The sequence below is a fragment of the Homo sapiens genome, chromosome 12 (genome assembly GCF_000001405.40).
Source record: "Homo sapiens chromosome 12, GRCh38.p14 Primary Assembly".
In the NCBI taxonomy this organism is placed as follows: Eukaryota; Metazoa; Chordata; class Mammalia; order Primates; family Hominidae; genus Homo; species Homo sapiens.
The window spans coordinates 10,615,453-10,635,931 of NC_000012.12; the positions used below are offsets into that span (position 1 = coordinate 10,615,453).

The 20,479-nt window shown below is 38.1% G+C and overlaps 1 protein-coding gene across 6 annotated transcripts in view; it reads right to left on the bottom strand.

The window, feature by feature from the left end:
• Positions 1–3,470: 3,470 nt before the first annotated feature.
• The window catches only part of STYK1 (serine/threonine/tyrosine kinase 1), a 55,130-nt gene continuing 38,121 nt past the window's right edge, over positions 3,471–20,479 (bottom strand). For 5 of the 6 annotated variants that reach the window (XM_005253417.3, NM_018423.3, XM_011520736.2 and 2 more), the window contains 9 exons: positions 19,115–19,234; positions 18,538–18,672; positions 15,593–15,856; positions 14,041–14,222; positions 12,189–12,272; positions 9,199–9,407; positions 7,186–7,226; positions 6,424–6,520; positions 3,471–4,896 (listed from right to left, as the gene is read on the bottom strand). In XM_005253417.3, coding sequence (XP_005253474.1) covers positions 4,692–4,896; positions 6,424–6,520; positions 7,186–7,226; positions 9,199–9,407; positions 12,189–12,272; positions 14,041–14,222; positions 15,593–15,856; positions 18,538–18,672; positions 19,115–19,166 — 1,269 coding nt within the window. In that variant the 5' untranslated portion in view covers positions 19,167–19,234 and the 3' untranslated portion in view covers positions 3,471–4,691. The remainder of the gene's footprint in view (positions 4,897–6,423; positions 6,521–7,185; positions 7,227–9,198; positions 9,408–12,188; positions 12,273–14,040; positions 14,223–15,592; positions 15,857–18,537; positions 18,673–19,114; positions 19,235–20,479) is intronic. The other variant, XM_047429099.1, reaches the window with a different exon arrangement.

Consider the following 20,479-nt stretch of genomic DNA (forward strand, 5'->3'; position numbering starts at 1 on the left):
AAAAAGCATTCCAGGCAGAAAATGACCCGAGCAAAGACAGTGGTGTGAAAATTCATGTTTGGGGAACACTAAGAAATTCGGTATAGCTAGAGCATAAGGTTCAAGTAGAATGACTAAAAAGGCAAATTGGGCCACGTTTCCTTGAGTCCATATTAGTAGTTATATAACTATTAATATAGAAAAATGAATCAGTCCCTACAATGGGCCACCATTTTGGAAAGTACGTAAGAAACAGGAAGCACCATGTTTTACCACTAGGGTGACTAGCCGTTCCAGTTTGACCAGGACTGTGGAGTTTCCTGGGAAATGGGACTTTCCATACCTGGAAACACCCAGGCAAACTGAGATGGGTTGGTCACCACACTTACCACAAGAATAATTCACAGAAATTTGAACACTCTATTCCGTAGTATCTCTGGAAATATCAGCTGTAATCCATTTTGTTGAATTATATGGAAAGCCTCATTCAATATCTTAGATTCCCTAATGTCTCTCCTTCAGGTTTTTGGCACATGTGCCAATGTTCATCTTCATGTTTACCTAAATAGAACTATGGATACCAGAATGTGTAACTATATAAATAGAGGTTACAGAATGCACAAAGTATTAACATCTTTGTTAAGTGGGCCAGTTACTGTCTTGATCTCCAAAAATGACATAGGGGTTCAAGACTATAATCCTACCTGTTTGTAAGATAAAATATGAAACTATATTTACTTAACTCTCTATATTTTAAGCCAAAATTTGAACCTTTTGTATTGAAGCAAGAATTACAAAGTGATAAAGCATTTGCGTTGTGTTGTATTCTTGGATGGTACACAACAGTGATGTGGAAATGTTCTTCTGTATGGCTGCTGAGCCCTTGAAATGTGACTACTGTGACTTCGAACTGAATTCTTAATTGTGATTAATTTAGATTAACATTTAAATAAACACATGTGGCTAGAAGCTACTGTGTTGGTCAGCACAGTTAGAATCTTTTCATACACTTTTAGTTGGGCTAGAAATAGCAAAAAAAAAATTGTGAACATTTTCAAATTGCTTGTTGTAGGCTCCAAATTAGGACGTACTTACTGATATCAACACAGTTTACTTATGAAAATAAATATTTGAGCTGCTTAAGTGAAGCCAAAATACTGTTTCCACCTTTGCTAACACAGCGGTAAATTTCAAAGCACAAAGTGAAGTAGGTAAGAAATAAACGTTTTATTTCCATCTGAAATTAGGGCTTAATGATCAAATCATTCTGACTTCCAATTTTCAGAAACATGTTCCATGTTTATTGTGATAAGCACTAGGTATTATAGTCTCATGTTTTTAATTTATGAATAACGTCTGATTCATTTGATTTTGTATTTACAGAAGAAAAGATGTCAGGGCTATCTCATTCAGTTATTAATAAATGGATCAGAGTAGTAAGTCAAGAATAAGTGCATAATGTGGTTTAAATTTTAAAAAATACTCAGAATGAGGTAGTATTTTAATTTTTAATTCATCCACCCACCTTGCTCTTCTCTTTTCCATAATAGACTTCCCTGTGGACGTTAGCCTTATCTGTCTTTTTACCACTTAGTGGTATTAACTTTTTAAGTAAGAGAATCATGATCATGCAGAAACACCAAACTTTCCACACCATTCGTTATCACATATGTTCATATATGGCGAGAACTTGGAGCTACTTCTAGATTACCATGACATGATATATTTAATTCGATTGTTCAATCTAAAATTTTTTTCCAGCAAATGACAATATTATATGCTTCAAACACATAGCATAATCTCTAACTCTTTTCCCCAAAACGGGTAAACACAGTATGCTAAATTAAGGGTAATAGGATATCTTCCAGTCTTCCACTGTATTTGCTACTTATTTATTTCAGTAAGAGTGTTAAAGCAAAATTTAAAAAAATTATTGCAACAGAGTTAAGATTAAGAAATCTTAATTAACTGACTTTTTTTGTTTTAAAATGCTAAAAAAAAACCCACTACTATTATTTGATTTTAATAACAGAATACCTAAATCTGGCATAAAAAAACATAGTGTGCTCCATAAGCATAATTTAAGAACTACTGGTTCAGACTATTCTATTTTAAACGACGTTACCAAGTTTCCCTTAGACACTGTATCTAGGTGGGTGTTTGCGTTGTTCCTAAGTGTTGGAATTTTTTTTTAACAATAAAGCATAGATTGGAAAAACAAGACTGGAAGAGAAGGCAATCAAAACAATACAACAAAATCTATCTAGAGTCAACCCGATTAAATGATAAATATTTTGATTCTTTTTTTCATTCATTAGCTTGGAAACACCTAGTTTGGCTGAAAGGTCAATGATGCCAGAAATATCATCCTCCTTCTGGAAGAAGCCTGGCCAAGTGAGAGAAAGACCCAGTTTTCTTAGAGTAAAAATTACTGTATCCAGTTTTCCGGGCCGGAAAAACAAATAAAATTGGGGGTAAAAAACTTAAATATCAATTGTCTGCTTCTTTCCCTCCTACTAAAAGAAATATGACAGTACAACAAAGCAACCTTCCATTTCACTGTGTTCCACTTTCCCTTAGCTCACCGTGCTGCAACCCATATGCTTTCTTGCAGTTCCTTGCCTCAGAATTTTCACGCACACATGTCCTCCTCCTGGGAGACTCTTCTTATTCGGCCTGGGTTACTTACCCATCCCTAAGGTCTCAGTTTATAGCCCATTTCTGTTCAGGGAAGTGTTCCTTTTAAACTCCCTTCTACTACCCTATGCTTTTTCTTTATAGCACTTAACACTTCGCACTTAACAGATACCCACACAAATAAATGTATAATGTGTCTCACCTTCTAGACTGTAATCAAAAGCTCCCTATTTCTTTTATCCTACACCTAGCCAAGTGTCTGGCACAGCAAGCCTTAACACTCAATATTTTTCAGTGATCAGATAAATAAGTAAATATTTGTAATTTTGACTTAACTGAACAGCTGAGAGGCAACAATGGGATTCCATAGGACTTTGTAATTTTGTGTGAAGCCACTCTTCTGCCCTTCTCCCTACTGCAACTTGCTACCCATTTAAATCCTGACTAGTCATTGTGGTATTCTTACAGCGGCAAGAATCATTATTCCTTTAGCTGACTCATTATGATTCCATCAGGATTCCAACTTCTACAACATTTTTAGCTGCCAGTCATTTTTCTTATGGCAGCCTTAGATGTCCCTTCCAGGGTACCCAAAGTGTTTTTTAAAATTGCAGACTACCATGTTCAACAGAATTGCCCTCATGATGATGTTTTCAATATTTTGTAATAGTAGGAGTCCACTATCATCATCCAAAAGCGTACAAAAATGATGACTTCATCATTGCACATGTATAATATCACTACTTGTGCCATATCATCATCTTTAGGCATGTCCTGCCTTGCAGTGTTAGCGACTGAGTTTCTCTTCTTGGTCACAGTAGATTTTAAATGAAAAATATATGAAAGGTCCTGGGTTAGGAAGGGCAAAAGAAAAGGAGAAACACGTTTATTGAGCGCATATGTGCCAGATAGTGTACAAATACATACTCAAAACGTATCAATCCTCAGAACAACCTTGTGAAATAGGTATTATCCCCATTTACACATAAAGAATCCCTTTTCTGACATTGTACATTATCTCTTGAATTTTTCTATTGGCATTAACTTTCACTTATTTACTTTTATCCTCCCTATGATATTTTTAGTAGTTATAAACCAGAAAAGCATATTTCCATTTAATAAATATTAATTTAATAAAATAAGTTTCACAGTATATCAACAGATGATTGAAAATTAGAAGCTGCTATCCTTCCATATCAGATTACATTCTTTTCTAGCCCTTGTTAAAGACTGAGCTACTAAGCCTTCTTGCTTGGTTTCTACATTTCCTATTTATTGTGCACACACACACACACACACACAGAATTCTTTTCACTGTTCTAACATTGACTCTCTAGGCTTAGTCTCCTTAGTCTAATCGGAACTAGGAAGCTAGCTTAATGAACAATACATGTTGAATGTTCTTAATCATGAAATGACTCCTCCACCTTCTAATTAAACGTAGTAACAAACAGAATTTACCTGTCTCAGAATCAGATAAAAGGGGACCATCTTTCTTTTATCTATACCTAAGGTGAAACTCAGAGGTTTTTCCGTTATAGTTCTCCTCCAACCCCACATGTAGGGCTCAGGACTGAAGAACTTTGTGTCCTACCACCTTTTCTTGAAGGAGGTGTTGGTCCATATCTGTAATCCTGAGCAAGAAGAACCTTAAATTTTCTTTCCCTTCAACTCTTTTATTGGATTTCTATTCCTTCATTTCATTCCAAATTTTCATCTAGATAAAAATGTGGTTCCAGAGGAAACTAGCCTCGGACGGGAGGGATGAGCTTATTTGTGCCATGCCCCAACAAATACTGCAGAGTTCTAAAACCTCCTTTGCACAGGTCCACCACTTCTACCCAGGATTTCTAGGACTGGGACAGCAGAAGTGAGACTGACAGTATGTCTTAGCTCAGGATGTGTAGAGTCCCATCCAGCATCATTTCAGATTTCCCGAGAAATGTGTAAAGGAAGATCAAGAATCCATGTCCCATTTCTCCCTTTGTGTCCCTGGGAAAGACCATTCTCTGTTCTTAGAGGAATTGATTCCAAGAACATATACTCATGCATGAATGTTTCTTGCCCGAGACTCTTCAAAGCATGCTATAGTTGTAGAAGAGGCTCTCCACTCTGATGCCGGCCACAGCTGCATACAGTTCAGGTACCACCAACTCTGGTACTTGTAACACAGCCTCGTCATCTGCAGTTTTAATGGCAGCTTCTAGGCGCAAGCGCAGCTCTCTAGGTGAGGGGCGGTCAGCCTCACGCCAGCGCCAGCAGGACTTCATGATACTGTACCTGAGAGGGAAACAAGAGAAACTGACTTCCTTGACAAGGCAAATGTATGGGGAGCATGTCTCCTCTCCTCACAAACTTTAACAAACAACTCTGCAATTCTTTAATTGTCTTCTGTTTGCCCTGTTACTCATATTCTTCCCAGAGAGTGATATTCCTTCTCAATCTTTTTATATCAAGTCTCTTAATAGCACTTTCTCAACAAGTGCTCTTGTATAATAGGAATGACTTAACATTTTCCAAACTAGGGTATGACAGGACAGTTTTATCACTACATATTGTTTGCTGTAACGTTGTAAGCATTGTGCAGTAAAGTAACAGGGCTGGGTAGAAATGAACACATGTCATTTTTACTCTGATATGAGACGGAGCTTTTAATCATGTATACTGCTGCATACTTTAGGTTGATTTTCATGTTTCAGATATCTCCTCATCAAAATGTTATGTTCTTTAATACTTGTGCCTAGAAGCTGCTGCTAGAATTGCAGATGACAAGGCTGTGTTACAAGTACCAGAGGTTGTGGTACCAGGTCAGGTATTTTGTCAGTTAGGTGTCTTTCCCAGTATTAAGACCAGCCTTTAACACATAGAAATGTTTGTCATCAATTTTTTTCTATTGTACCTAGCTCCATCACTATATTCTGTGCGTGTGTGTGTATGTGTATACTCATATATAATTAAGATACTTAAATTTAATCTGCTTGATGCAGTAATTATTTATCATAAGGAAAACCAAGTGCTGTAAATTTACCCATTCAATGATAAAAAACTTACAAAATAGCAACAATTCTAATAAAAACATTAATATATTCTCTGCTGCCTCCGTATACACAATTTAACCTTTTCTTACATTCTACAGCAGTTCCTTTTTGAACTTCATTGGTAATAACAGTCTATGTAATTTTTTATTTTTCCATTTCCTGCCTCTAGGTTGGTTCACTAACTGTCCCAATCTGCTGACAATATTGGATCCTCCTTCTGCCTTTCTAATTTCTTCTTATCTCCCCTTCCTCTGGTTGGCTTCTATCACACTGAGAGTTGGAAAAACAGGGAGACAGTCATTTAAAAGTTAAATACTAAATAAGAACTGGTATACTCTGAATGAGTAACTCTAGTGCAATGGCTTTTATGACAGCTGTCTGAACTGTGGCTGGCAGAAGACTGACATTTAGACTAAACACAACTATACTTGCATTGGGTTTAGTTTACTTGTTACCTATTTTAGAAGCTTCCCATGGAACTAAACTATAATAAAATTAGATTCCTGATATAGTTCTCAGCGTGTGGTGGGGGTATGTGTGTGTATGTGTGTGAGTATGTGTGAGTGTGTGTATGTATATGTATATATAATATATATGCATATATAATATATGAGATAGGTATATTTTACTGCATGGGTTTGGTTAAAAGCTGTACATGGGTACATATACACAGGTGAGGATCATCTGAGCCCTTTGAAAAGGGCACGATTGATAGAGGGCTAAACAACATTTGGAATGAAAGAGGAGCAGGCCTTTAAAAACCACTTACATGGTATGTGTGCAGCTACTGGGTCTCTTCATGATTTTCCTTCTTTGGAGATGCTCTAGGATGCTGGTAGGAGGGACTTCAGGATACGGTGGTGCTCCTGTCATTACGAAAATAATGAGAACTTTAAGGTCCTCTAAAATATGAACTGTAACTAACACTATTCTTCATCCACTTGGGTTGGTTGCTTGCAAAAGATATAGCCATAGGAAAAATACTACATACAATTCAGTTGCTCCCTGGTGATCAAATATGGATATAATTTAGTGAATTGGGGGGAAAGGTGTTTTGGAGAAAAAAACCTGATAAGTTAGGAGAATCTTGAATCTCTAAGAAAGTGATCAAATAAGACAAAGTAAGACATAAGACCTGTCCTCCACTCTCCATACATGGGAAAGTGTGCAGTTTCTCAGTCAAATGAATTAATAAGTCTGGAGTAAACATTTTTATGTTTATGCAAGACCACTCTGGGAATTATCCTTGGGATTTGAAAACATCCCTTGGATTTGGTAATATTTTGGGGAAAATAAAGAGGAAGAGAGCAAAAGAAAGGTAAAAAAGGACAGGGAAGAAGGGACTGGGGCAAGGAGAAAATAATCACTTTATATGACTATCACGGGAATCAGGCTTAGATAACATGTCAGTCCATTTCAAGCTTCAGCACTGTACTGAAACCCTTTCAGAAAGCATACATCATCCACCCCTTAAATAAACACGCTTGCATATTTGCATACAGGTACACACTATTTTGGGGCTCATCCTTACCTAGAGTCACCATCTCATAGAGCAGGATCCCAAAAGACCAGCTGTAAAAGAAACAAAGCCATCTATTTAATTTCTATTTCTGTTTTTCTAAAGAGAGCTCATTTAAGTGTCAGAAGCCTTTAATAAGAGCCCCATGAAAAAGGCAATGAAGGAGAATCAAGGATGAGTGTCTGAAAAACAAAATAACAGCCATTAGAAAGCATTTCTGCTCAATTTCCATAGGTTCGAATCTCTTTTAAGATTGAAATTATATCTCTATTTACTCTCCTGTGTTTTAAATTAATAGATGTTTGTTATTATTTGCAAATGTGTGTGCATGTAACCACACAAACACATTTACCTCAATCACAAAAGCACATTTACCTAAAAATATTCCCTCTGTGTCTCTTTCTTCCTTTCCATCCCTCTCTGCTGAAATTCTTGCCTTTATTCTTAGCACAAATTCAACCAAGTTTTATCATTTAGTCACTATTTTCTCAGTAGATTTAATTGCCCAAACCTAGGAAAAATATTAACAGGGCAAGCTTTATATATAGTTGAAATAGGTATTTGCCTAAGCAATATGACTTGAGAGGTGTATAGTTCACTATTCTGTAATATCATTATTGAATGATTAATATTTTACAGTTAAGTTTATTACCCCCAGATGTCTATTGAAAAGCAGATGTCAGTGAAGCAACAATGGAAATCTCATAACTGACTCATCATATTAACTGATATTCTAAATTTCCTCTGCTGCTCATGGCATTCATGGCTAGCAGGATATTCTACATTACATCAATGCACTTCTCCAAGCAATTGAGTTATATGGCTACCAAAAGTCAATTGTGATTCTTTATGATCCTGTTAATGCCAATTTTACATGTAATTGCAATTATATGTAGTTATATAATCAATTAGGTATTTTATATATGGATTAAATGCAAAAAAGTGTTATCTTCCTTCAAACAAAGTTTGAAGGAAGTTGAATGTTTTGAAAACTAAGTTGAATGTTTTGAAAATGATTTATAAAAATAAACTGCTGAAAAAGAAAGTCTTGTCAAATTGTGTGAGGGAGACAACTTAGAAAATTGGGAAAAGTAACATCAAAAGTCTGCAGTCAAACAATTTCACAATTATTTTCAGGTTTCTCATGCTACCTAAAATCATTCTGAACTGGAACTCAAAAATAAATCATTTTTATTTACACTAAAAGATACTATTTACACTAAAAGAACAACGTGTAACTTCATTTGGGAAACTCATCCTTATAAAAAGAAGCCTTGCCCCTCCTTGAAAAAAACAGATAATGTACATTTATAAGTTTTATGTTAAAATAAGTTATTGAAGGTATGTATATTTCTTTTTATTTTAACAATGTATGGGTTAACTGGCCTTTTGGTTATTCCTTCAGATAAAACAGACTTTACTAGATTAAGTCCTCAGATATTGATGTGAATAATCTTTTCACTTTTTTTTTTTCTAATTAAGGCTGCTAATCTAATACAGAAGAAATACTTGAGGCTGGGCATGGTTGCTCATGCCTGTAATCCCAGCACTTTGGGAGGCGAAGGTGAGAGGATCACTTGAGCCCAGAACTTCTAGACCAGCCTAGGCAACATGGTGAACCTTGTCTCTAAAAAAAAAAGAAAAAAAAAATAGCCAAGCAGGGTGGTGCATGCCTGTAGTCCTAGCTTCTAGGGAGGCTGAGGTGGGAGGATCGCTTGAGCCTGGGTGGTGGAGGCTGCAGTGAGCTGTGATCATGCCACTTCACTTCAGCCTGGGCAACACAGTGAGATCCTGTCTTAGAAAAGAAAAGAAGAAAAGAAAAGAAAAAGTTGAAAAAGTACCAAAAAGGATTGCAGACAGATGACAAACATGAACTCTGTCACATAACATTTCTGCTTGAGAGTATGTCTGATTTCTAAGTAGAGATTATATTCGTATACAGAATTGGCAACAGATCAAATCATATTCAGGGACAACACCCAAGTCATGAAGAAAGTAAACTCAGAGTCCAGGAATAAACCGTACACATCTGCTCTGATGCTAGCAGGTCTCAGGAGAAGCCGTTCTGGGGCAAGCCACTTGAGAGGTATGGTTTGAGTAGAGGAGATGGCCCCTCGGGTGTAAACTTCATAAGCCAGGCCTAATCCACAGAGCTTAGCAGTGAGATCACTTTGCATCAGAATATTCCTGGCTGCCACATCCCCATGGAACAAATGCTTCTCCTGCAGGAATTCCTGTCAAGATAAAATCAAATATGATCAGCTGTCTGAGATCACAGCTTGGGTCACAGACAAGGAGAGGCAGTCCTAGGAATCTTCAAAAACACAAGGACATTTTCTACTCTGAACAAGTCTCACTAATAATGATATGTCACTTCCAAAGCATGCTAATGAACTGCACATTTCTGCATTGTGTTTAGGATTACCAAATTGAGCAAATAATTCAAATGACATTAATACTGGATTTTGAAAATATAATCACCTCTGTTTCAAACACTGACCCCTGCCTGATTTTCGTTTCCCGTGAGAAAGGACCCAGCTAGACACTGGAAAAGGGAGTAGATTCCAAGTTTCTTTCTTTTTTTGTTTGTTTGTTTGTTTGTTTGTTTGTTTGAGACAGTCTCGCTCTGTCACCCAGGCTGGAGTGCAGTGGCGGGATCTCAGCTCACTGCAAGCTCCGCCTCCTGGGTTCATGCCATTCTTCTGCCTCAGCCTCCCAAGTAGCTGGGACTACAGGCACCCGCCACCACGCCTGGCTAATTTTTTGTATTTTTAGTAGAGACGGGGTTTCACCATGTTAGCCAGGATGGTCTCGATTTCCTGACCTTGTGATCTGCCCTCCTCGGCCTCCCAAAGTGCTGGGATTACAGGCATGAGCCACTGCACCCGGCCTGATTCCAAGTTTCTAGCAGTAGTCCTCAAAACAATGTAATACGTACCAAAATTGAGTATCATAATGAAAAATGTATATACATATCTCACTTTTTCCCCTAAAATAACTGCATGGGTTGAATTCAGAAATTTTCTTTTAGATAAATCTAAATGATTACAAAAGGCCACAGAGTTATTAAGCAGTAGTGACCAGAACCAGGTATTATAATTCATAGGATGTACTATATAAACTCTACTAAAAATTTTCAAGTCAGTCTGCATATTGGAATTGCCTGAGAGCTTTTTAAACATAAGATTTTCACCCCAGATTTAATAAACCAAAATGTAGGAAGAAAGACCTGGTAACCGACATTTTTAAGATGTATCAAATTCTAGTACAGCCAACAGAGCATCGGAGAGCCATGGCACCCTATGATAATTGATTTTTGGAGTAATTTCCAATGGCATCAACCTATTCAAGGCATAAGAAGAAAGTTGCAAAACTATACATGACTGAAGATCTAGATATTGAGGGCTGTGATTACTAAAAAAGGATGGTATAGAAAATTAGAAGGTAAAGGTGATAATTTCCAATCACTGATGACAAAGAAAACTAGCAGTTTTCTGTGCCTGGTGAAGCTTTAAAATAAGAAATTATAGTGCCATGATAAGAATTAAAGAATGTAACTGACTTTGAGCTTGTTAAAAGTAAGAAAAAAATAGCATGATATTGCCTTGTAACAGGTAGCATAGGGTCCTGATGAATGCACCAATTTGACCAATTCATCCCTGGACGGCGCCTCTGCAATTGCGGTTCTGAATACAGGGTAGGCTGTATCCTGACACTCTTTATCAAGGGAACATATCAACGAGGCCATTCAAACACCATAGACAATATTCACGTATATGATGTGTACTCTCCCTTGTCCCATGGGAGCTTCAACCATAACTATTACTCTTTACCCACCTTAATCCTTTTTTTCTAACCTTTTCCTGATTCCACTTACATCCCTATATTTCACACCTCAAAGTAGCAAGATATATCAAATACTTAAAACAGTAGCTTCACAGAACCCCGATTTTCCATAGCAAATGTTAATTTTAAACACAACCATTTAAATAATTTCATAGAAATAGACATATAAACTTCCTGGGTAATTCTGGTAAAGGTAAATTTTTTATCTTAAACCCTGAGTTCTTTCTCTTATCTCGTTATTTAAGTTGTTTTAGGCCGGGCACGGTGGCTCATGCCTGTAATCCCAGCACTTTGGGAGGCCGAGGCGCGCGGATCACGAGGTCGGGAGATCGAGACCATCCTGGCTAACACAGTGAAACCCCGTCTCTACTAAAAATACAAAAAAATTAGCCGGGCGTGGTGGTGGGCGCCTGTGGTCCCAGCTACTCGGGAGGCTAAGGCAGGAGAATGGCGTGAACCTGGGAGGCGGAGCTTCCAGTGAGCCGAGATCGTGCCACTGCACTCCAGCCTGGGCAACTGAGCAAGACTCCATCTCAAAAAATAAATAAATAAATAAACAAATATTTAAGTTGTTTTAAAATAAAGGAATTATCCAACTGTGCTCTTCTCATTCATCCTTTTCCACTTGTTCCTTAATCTTTTATAATTATATGTACTCCCTGTCACATTCAGTATCAAAGCAAGTCTCCAACCAAACATGTTCTGAACTAGTTTTCTTGTTTCTCAGGTATAAAATTGCATACTTCCTTCTGGTTCTGTCGCCTTTCACCCATTCAGTTTCTCTTTCCATATCTTCTCCCTACTTGCTTCCCTATCTGTCTCTTTTAATTCTATTATTAGTACAAATGGGGATGTAAAATTATCAAGTAAATGGGTGTATACCTCTTGGCCCTGAAAAATCTGAAAAATCCTTCCTGTTCCTTGTATAAACCCTAAGTTGACTACTTTCTCCCTGAAATTACCAATAGTGTGGTAAATTATCTAGATAAATCCCTAAGGAAGGGACTAAAAACAATTTATCCATGCTTGAGTTTCTGCCCCCTAACTTCTATCTAATTTTCTTTAAAACATACACACCACTTGAGAATATTAATATGAGAAATATGGCATCAAAAACAAGGCTAACAAGGAAACGTCACACCATCAGTTGTCATGTTGCCTCATCTTACCAGCGCCAAAAGGACCTGCTTTCCGATGTGATATACTTGTTTTTCTGTGAGATCATAGAGAAGACCATCCATAGTCATCACATCCTAAAGAGACAGGGAAAAAAAGCCATTATATCAAAATAGCACTCACAGATTTGGAAAAGAAATAAAGTTGGGCAGAGATACTCTGAAATGCAGTTATCAAAGCTTTGAAAAATATAAGGACTAGTGTTCAAAGTGAGGCTGTGGGAGATTTTCAGATAGGCAGAGACATAAAATGATCCATTGGACTGGAAAAACAATGACAGACATAGATGAATAGCAGGTAAGACAAGTATAAATAAGACTATCCACTGAATAAAGCAGCAATTTTTCTAGGGCTCTGTGTGTGTGCTTGTGTGTGTATGCACATGTGAGCACACATGTGTTCATGATTAATTTAGCACATAAACTGAATGCATCTTTATTGAATGCCTGAAATGTCCCTTATTCCATGTTAGGAACTTGGAATACAAGCATGAGTAAAATAGCATGGCTGCTGCCTTCTGGAGCTTATTGGGTGACAGGCACATGTGAATCAGAATCAAATAATCATACATAAATCAATGGTTACATATCTGTAAGTGCCATAAAGGAAATGTACAAAGTGCTAAGAGAGCATATGATGGTGGGCAGAAGAGAGTTGATTGAGTTGCAGGGACAGGGAAATTGATGAGATCTGAAGGATGAGTGGACATTAACTATGAAAAGAAGAGAAGAGAGAAGTTTGGTGGAACAAGAAAAACATATAAAGATAATCTGAAATAGAGATGCGTGGTATTTTTTAAAAATGGAAAGAAGCTAGTGCAGTTAGAGGACAAAACAAGTTTTAGATGAGTGACCTCTTTAAAAAGTTTAAAATGCCTAAATACTTGCAATCGTCCTATTGACAATACAGGATGGAAGACAATAACAGGGTCCCTTTCTCATACACATTCAGTTGTACAATAATCAGCATATGAAGGAGGCTCAAAGAATATTGAACTTGCTCACTAGCAAGTGAGAAACTAGGGAAACAGGTAGCACTTCTGAAAGAGGAATATAGAACAAGGGAAATTTTAAGGAAAAGGACATCCATTTGAGGCTAAAAATTTCTGAATGCTTTAATTTTAAAAAACGTGAGTTTGAGCTACAAAAGCTTTACAAGCTAAATTTCTCCCTGAGTTTGCCCACCATATTATAGTGATGTTACAGAATGGAAAACACACTTAATAACTGCAACAAAATTATAATCATTACCAAAAATACTCATATAAAGATAATTGTTATATATAAACAATATAAAGATAATTGTTATATAATTATCTTTATAACAGCTACCATTTTGAGTGCTTACTCTGTACCAACCATGGCCATGTTTTCACATACATAATTTCTTGTATTTTTTGTAATAATTATTACTCCCATTTTACAGATTCAGAAAACTCAGGATCAGAAAGGTGACTTGCTCACAGTCACATAACTAGTAGGAGGTGAAGCCTAAAGTCCATGCTCTAAACTTGTACTGTCCACTCTCTGCTCATTAGCCACCTGTGGCTATTTAAACTTATATTACTTAAAATTAAATAAAATTTAAAATTTAGTTTCTCCATCACATCAGCCACACTTCAAGTGTCTAGAAGCCATCTGTGATTAGTGGCTTATCATACTGGATGGAGCAGTTATAGAATATTTCTATAATTACAAAAAGTTCTATTATATGGTCATACTCCCTTATTCTGTCATGCTATTATAGTGTCTCTGCATTTTGTCATTTGTCACACTAACTGACATGTAAAAAGCTAGTCAACAAGGTCAAGCCTTAACCTCCTAATACCTCTGCCCTACTGCTCACCCGCCGACAGGTCCAGAGAAAGCTGAGCAGGTCCCCCTGGGCCACATCCTCCAACACCATATAGAGTGGCAGCTTTTCAGTGCAGCAGCCTTCCAGCTGCACCAGGTTTTTGTGTTTCCCCAGGTATTGATGGAATTGGATTCGCCCTAAGAAATCTTGTACCTCATGGAGCCCAGCTGGTTCTGTAGAGGACGAAAGATCCAGGCAGTGAGCAGTCAGAGCATCCTCGATGAGTGGGAGGCAGGGAGCAGGAGGCAACTTAAGATGTTAATTCTCAAGGCCCCACATGGGAGTGAATGAAGGCAAAAATAAACACAAAGGGGACTAATTAGATGAAGATGATGCTTAATGTCACTGATCTTTTATCAAAGGTAACACAGAATCATAATTATTAGAACTGGATAGGCTTTCATCTGCCTAAATAGAGAGATAGTCTGTTTGCATTAAAAAGTTATCACTGTCTAGTCCTTTGGATTAATATCCTTGCTTGTCTTATCCTTGTTCTATGTATCCACCATTACTGGCCCATATCATGAAGAGGAGAGAGAGAGAGAGAGAGAGAGAGAGAGAGAGAGAGAGAGAGAGAGAGAGAGAGAGAGAAATATAATGTAAGCTGGGCATGATGGCTCACACCTGTAATCCCAGCACTTTGGGAGGTTGAGGCTGGTGGATCACCTGAGGTCAGGAGTTCGAGACTGGCCTGGCCAATATGGTGAAACCCCATTTCTACTAATAATACAAAAATTAGCTGGCCATAGTGGCACACGGCTGTAATCCCAGCTACTTGGGAGGCTGAGGCAGGAGAATCACTTAAACCTGGGAGGCGGAGGTTGCAGGGAGCCCAGATGGCACCATTGCACTCTAGCCTGGTGACAAGAGCAACACTCTGTCTCAAAAAAAAAAAAAAAGAAAAAAGAAATATAATATCAGGAAGGGGTATCAAAGAATAAAGTAAAATGAGGAAACAACCTCAGAATCCTAGTACAAGTAACATCCATTGTGAAAAAATCTGTTTTAACAGCCTCAATAGGCAAAGATGAGCTAGGGAACCTAGGATGCAAAGAAGAGCTAGGGAATCTAGGATGCAAAGATGTTTTAACATATGCAAATCAATTCTGTGACATACCGCATTAACAGAATAAAGGATAAACATCATATGATCATTTCAATCAATGCAGAAAAGGCATTTGATAAAATCCAATATCCTTTCATGATAAAAACACTACACAAAGTACAGAAGGAATGTACCTCAACACAATAAAGACTGTGTAAAAACCCACAGCTAACATCTTACTCATCATAACATTATGCTTATTTGTAGTAGTCATTTTAGTTATTATTTGGAGATTGGGTAAGGATTCACAAATAAACAATTTGTGTAATTAAAAAAAAAGACACCAAGAAAAACATTTCTGCCTCAAGTTTCCACTCTATTACCTTCTTCTGTACACAGTTATGATCACAACTATCTGTTAGTTAACATCTCAATGTTCGCAAAGCCTGTTAATATTTACTGTTAGGGGAAGGGGGAGTCAAACACTTCTTGTTTTACCTTTTAAAGCCTTGAGAATAACACTCTTGGGCTTAGAAGGGTCCCCAGTGTTCATATTGGCTCGAAAGATGGGCCCACAGCTACCACTGCAAATCTGCTCCAGAACTTCAGAGAGTTGCTCCCGCGGCACCTGCAGCTTAGCCAGGGCAGGTGTGGTAGCTCCCAGAAAGTTTTCCACGGATGTCTCCTTAAGTGGCAAAGCCACATTTCCTCCATGTCCTGCTTCCCAGCTTAGGTCCCTAGGTGGAGGAACAGGGGCAATGCCTAGAACAGAGAGATGATGTCAACCAGTTTTTCCCCGCCCTGGGGATCCCGGAAAGCAGACCCTGAAACAAATTGGCAAGGAGGTTCCTTCAGCAGTTTTCTCTTTGGCCAATGGGGAGTTGTCTTCTGATGCTTCTCTATAAACCAGCATCAATGTCAAGTTTGTAGAACCTTTATAATAATCCCCATTAGTTCTTAGGACAACTCAAGAAGGACCCCAGGAAATCGGTCATGACACTTCCTTTCTGCCTTCCTTCCTCTGGGTTACAATTGAGTACTTCCCATGAGTGTGGTATGGAGACAATTAGGGAAGTTACTGAATAGGTATCCAAACCACAGATGCCTAAAGGTGGAGGTAACTGCCAGTGAGAACTGTCATTTAAATCAGACAAATGGCTTTCAACGTTGGAGGAAAGGTATGGATAATTAATCAGCTTTAAGCTATGGTTATTCTTCCTCCTTTGAGTTACCCCAAAAGTCAAGTTATTTCATATTTCCTTGAGTCTTGGTCAAAAAAGTCTTCTGGTACTCTCTCCTTCCCTTGGCCAGCAAAAAAGAGAGGTTCATCCTTCTTATTAAATCTACATTTATTCATTTATTCAACAAATATCACCTATTACATGCCAGGTACTGTTCTAAGTGCTGGGAACAGGAAAAGTCCAGATTCACCTGAAGATTACTTTCTACTGGTAGGGGAGAGGAAGCAGGTAATAATATATCAAGCAATTAATGTTGTGGAGGAAAATAAAAGATGGAGAAAAAGCTGAGTGTGATGCCATGAGCCTATAATCCCAGCTATTGGGGAGGCCAAAGCAGGAGGATCTCCTGAGCCCAGGAGATCCTGGGCTGAATTAACATTCAGCCTAAGCAACATAGCGAGACTCCATCTCTTTAAAAAAAAAACAAAAAAAGGTGGTGGGGAGAAGAAGCATCAGTGAATCAGTCACCTGTGTTATATATGAAGGTCAAGAAAGGCCTTTCTGATGAGATAACATTTGAGAAAGGCCTGGAAGCAACTAGGGAGCAAACCATGCTGGTGTCAGGGAGAGTATTGTAGGCAAAGAAAGCAAAAATTGCAAAAGCATTAAGCAGGGAGCATAGCTGCAATAGTTGAGAAATAGCCAGGAAGCCAGTGTAGCTGGAGCCAAGTGGGATCATTGGAGAGTAGTAGGAGACAAGGCCAGGGAGGCCCAGATCACATAAGGCCATGGAAAAAATTTTGTCATTTTTCATTCTGAGCAAGGTGGGAGGCTACTGCATGTGTGTGTGTGGAAGAGAGATTTCAAGCAGATAACTAACAGGACTGACTGTATTAAAAGACTCATTCTGGCATTTCTATAAAGGAGTAGGGGCAGAAGCAGGGAATGTTAAGAGTGTGTTGCAGTGATCAGTGAGATGTGAGAGTAACTTGGGTTTATTTTGAAAATAGGGTAACAGTGTTTGCTTATGGATTAGATACAGACTGTGAGAGAAAGAAAGGAGTTATCTTCAAGGTTTGAGACTGAAAACACAGTCTCAAACTGTGTTTCAAGGTTTGAGACTGATATCTTCAAGGTTTGAGACTGAAAACACAGAAGACAGGACTTGCCATTTACTAAGATAGGCAAGACTATTTGCGGAGGACATTTATGAGAGAATTTCAGGACCTTTGTTTTGGTCATATTACATATGAGATTTGTATTCCATTGAAACTGTGCAGTAGGTGGTTTAATATGAGAATTGAGTTCAAGGGACTATCATTGGAATAGAAAATGTATTTGAATCCATAAGACTAAAAATTATAGCATTTAGGAAGTGGCTTTAGTTTTTTCAGTATTTCAAGAAAGAGAAAGTTTAAAATTGTTTCAAATGCTTTTGACAGATCAAGTAAGACGAAGACTAAGAATTGATCATTGGACTTTTCAATGCAGCTGTCATTGATGACCTTGGAAAGACTTGTTTTGGCGAAGTGGTAGAGATGAAAACCTTATTTTAGTGTGTTCAAAAGAGAATGTGATGAGTAGAAGTAGTAGGAGTGAGTTTAGACAACTTGTTTGAGAAGTTTTCTATAAAAGTGAAGTATAAGACTATTGGGATAAAATTTAAAGAAAAACTAAGGATTAGCCACTATAGAGTTTCATATCATTATGAGAGTTTTCTTTTTCCTTCTTTTTACCCTGAGTTTCATCTGTGAATTGATTCCCTTTTATTATATGCTCAGTGGAACTCCAGAACAGACTGTTATCATCTACTTAGCACTTCAAAGACTGTTATAATATAAAGGCCCCTCCTTTCCATCATATATCCTGGAGGCAAAGATTAGGAATGGAACGTATCATAGGGTGATATGTCATCCTCCTAGGATGTTCATAAAGCCTTGGACTTTACCCCCTTAGGTCTTTCTCCTAGGTCCTTAGGCACTCATATAGTCAAAGTTTTGATAGTCCAACAGGAATAGAAACAGGTTATATGAGGTTTTTCTTGCACACTCTTTTTTCAGTCAGTAAGCACGTGTTGAATTCCAACTCGGGAATTCCTAGAAAAGAGATCATCCCCCTCTCAACTCCATGGGAGGGAACCCATGCCTCTCTCATTGCAGGTACCTAGACTTCTAGACATGGGCTCATTGAAACTTAGACCATACTTTTTCCTAATCTCCATCTTCTTTAAGCCCCTGCCCAGCCCCAAAGTTTGAGCTTTACCTTGAGGTCCAGAACGCTGCTGTTGAGTTCTTTGTTCTCTGATAAAAAGCCACAGGATGACCCCAAGAAGGATGAGGAAGATAGTAACCAACAAAGTTGGGACGATAATCACTTCATACTGCTTCTCCTGGATGACTGGGTAGGCGATCACACAGGAAGAGAAGAGAATGAAGAAGCCTAACCTGGTGTTCATGCAATTTCCCCTACCCGCCAGCTCTCAGCTCATCATACATGAAAAGGTCATCTCTTCTACCATCTCCTCTACTTCCATTCAACAGAAACACTGCTGGGAGCAACTCTCTAACCAGAAACCCCAGTGACTCTGTTTCTTAGCCCATCAAATGTGCATGACGTTGCTTCTGGCAGTTTCTTACCAAGATTGAAGATGCAGCATCTGGATCACTGATTAGCACTTACCCTCTCCCCAAAAAGACAATGGCCTCTAGTCCCCATCCTTTTATCACCACTGTCTTCATTTCTACTGGAAATCAAATCATCCTCCTTCTAGAATCTACCGAGACCTTAGCCTTCATAATTCTAAAATCAGAGGATAGACATCTGTGGAATCCGTACTTACCACACAACTTGTCACTGAGACTGCATTCCAGGAGCATCCGTGTCATGCCCATTGCCACAGGGCTGTCCCCTTCCCTGCTAGGCCCACAGAGAATGCACACAGCACAGCTGTGAGTAATTCCTAAGGATTGAGTGGTTTTTGAAAAAAATAAAATGAATGAAAAAAAATAAATGAAGTACACACAGAATTTTAAACCGCCTCTACAGATCACTAGTTAAGTAAATGGCTACCTCTCTGAGTCATCCGTTTATCTCTATCTACCTAGCTGATATTCAGGTTGGAAGAACCCTCCCAACCTTCTCTTCCTCTCAGCGTTTCTCTTTTCTCTATTATACAGCAAAGAGCTCTGATCTGCTCTTGTCCTTTCATTCAACTGTTACTGAAATTATTTTAAAGTCTCCCCTCCCACCCGAGACTTCTGCTCCCATGATCAAGTACAGATTCAAAACATCCATCTGAACTGTGATCCATGGGTTATGTGGGCATGATCTACCTCCCCTACAGTATTAAGCATGTCTAATATATTTTTTTTAGCTGTGCATCATATTTTTTAAGCAAAACATTTTTTGAAGTTGGGATCTTGCTCTGTAGCCAGGCTTGAGTGCAGTGGTGTGATCATGCATGGCTCATTTAAATCTCAAACTCTTGGGCTCAATTAATCCTCCTGCCTCAATCCCCTGAGTCTCTGGAATTACAGGCATGAGCTACCATTTCTAGCTCTAAAGAAAACATTTAATTTCATTTTTACACACAGTTAATTCAGATAACAAATAAAAAATTGACAGATGTCGAAGGATATGAGTTACACATTTGCTTTGTTTCTCTGAAATATCCACACCCTCACAAGCAGTGAACAGACAGCATTTATCAATAAAAACTATTTAATTCCTCATCCCTCAGAGCTTCAAGGTGCTTCCTCTGCTCATATCAGATATAGACACGGACACTCATTGCTACAAGGATATAAAGGAAGTATCAGTACCAAGCCACCTTCTCTTTCTCTTTTAAATAAAAAGAAAATACATTCATATGATTCAAAAAATAGTAGTGTAAAATTGTATAGCATAAAAATATTTCTCCCCCCCATTCTTCTCCATTTATCCAGTTCTTAACTCTCCTCCAGTCTCCTCCAAGTAGACTCTAGTTATTAGTTTCTTGTTTGTCTGGCAAGGGATTCTTTATGTGTATCACTGTTAAGTCTATATAATATAATCAGTACATATTTCAAATAACAGCCCTAGAAACTTGGTTCTTTCTTTCCAAAGAGAACTCATGTTTACCACTGTCCCATACCTCTCCTAAATTTATATTTTGCCTTTGCTTGACAAGACACTCCCATGGTTCTATAGTCAACAAAGCCTACTT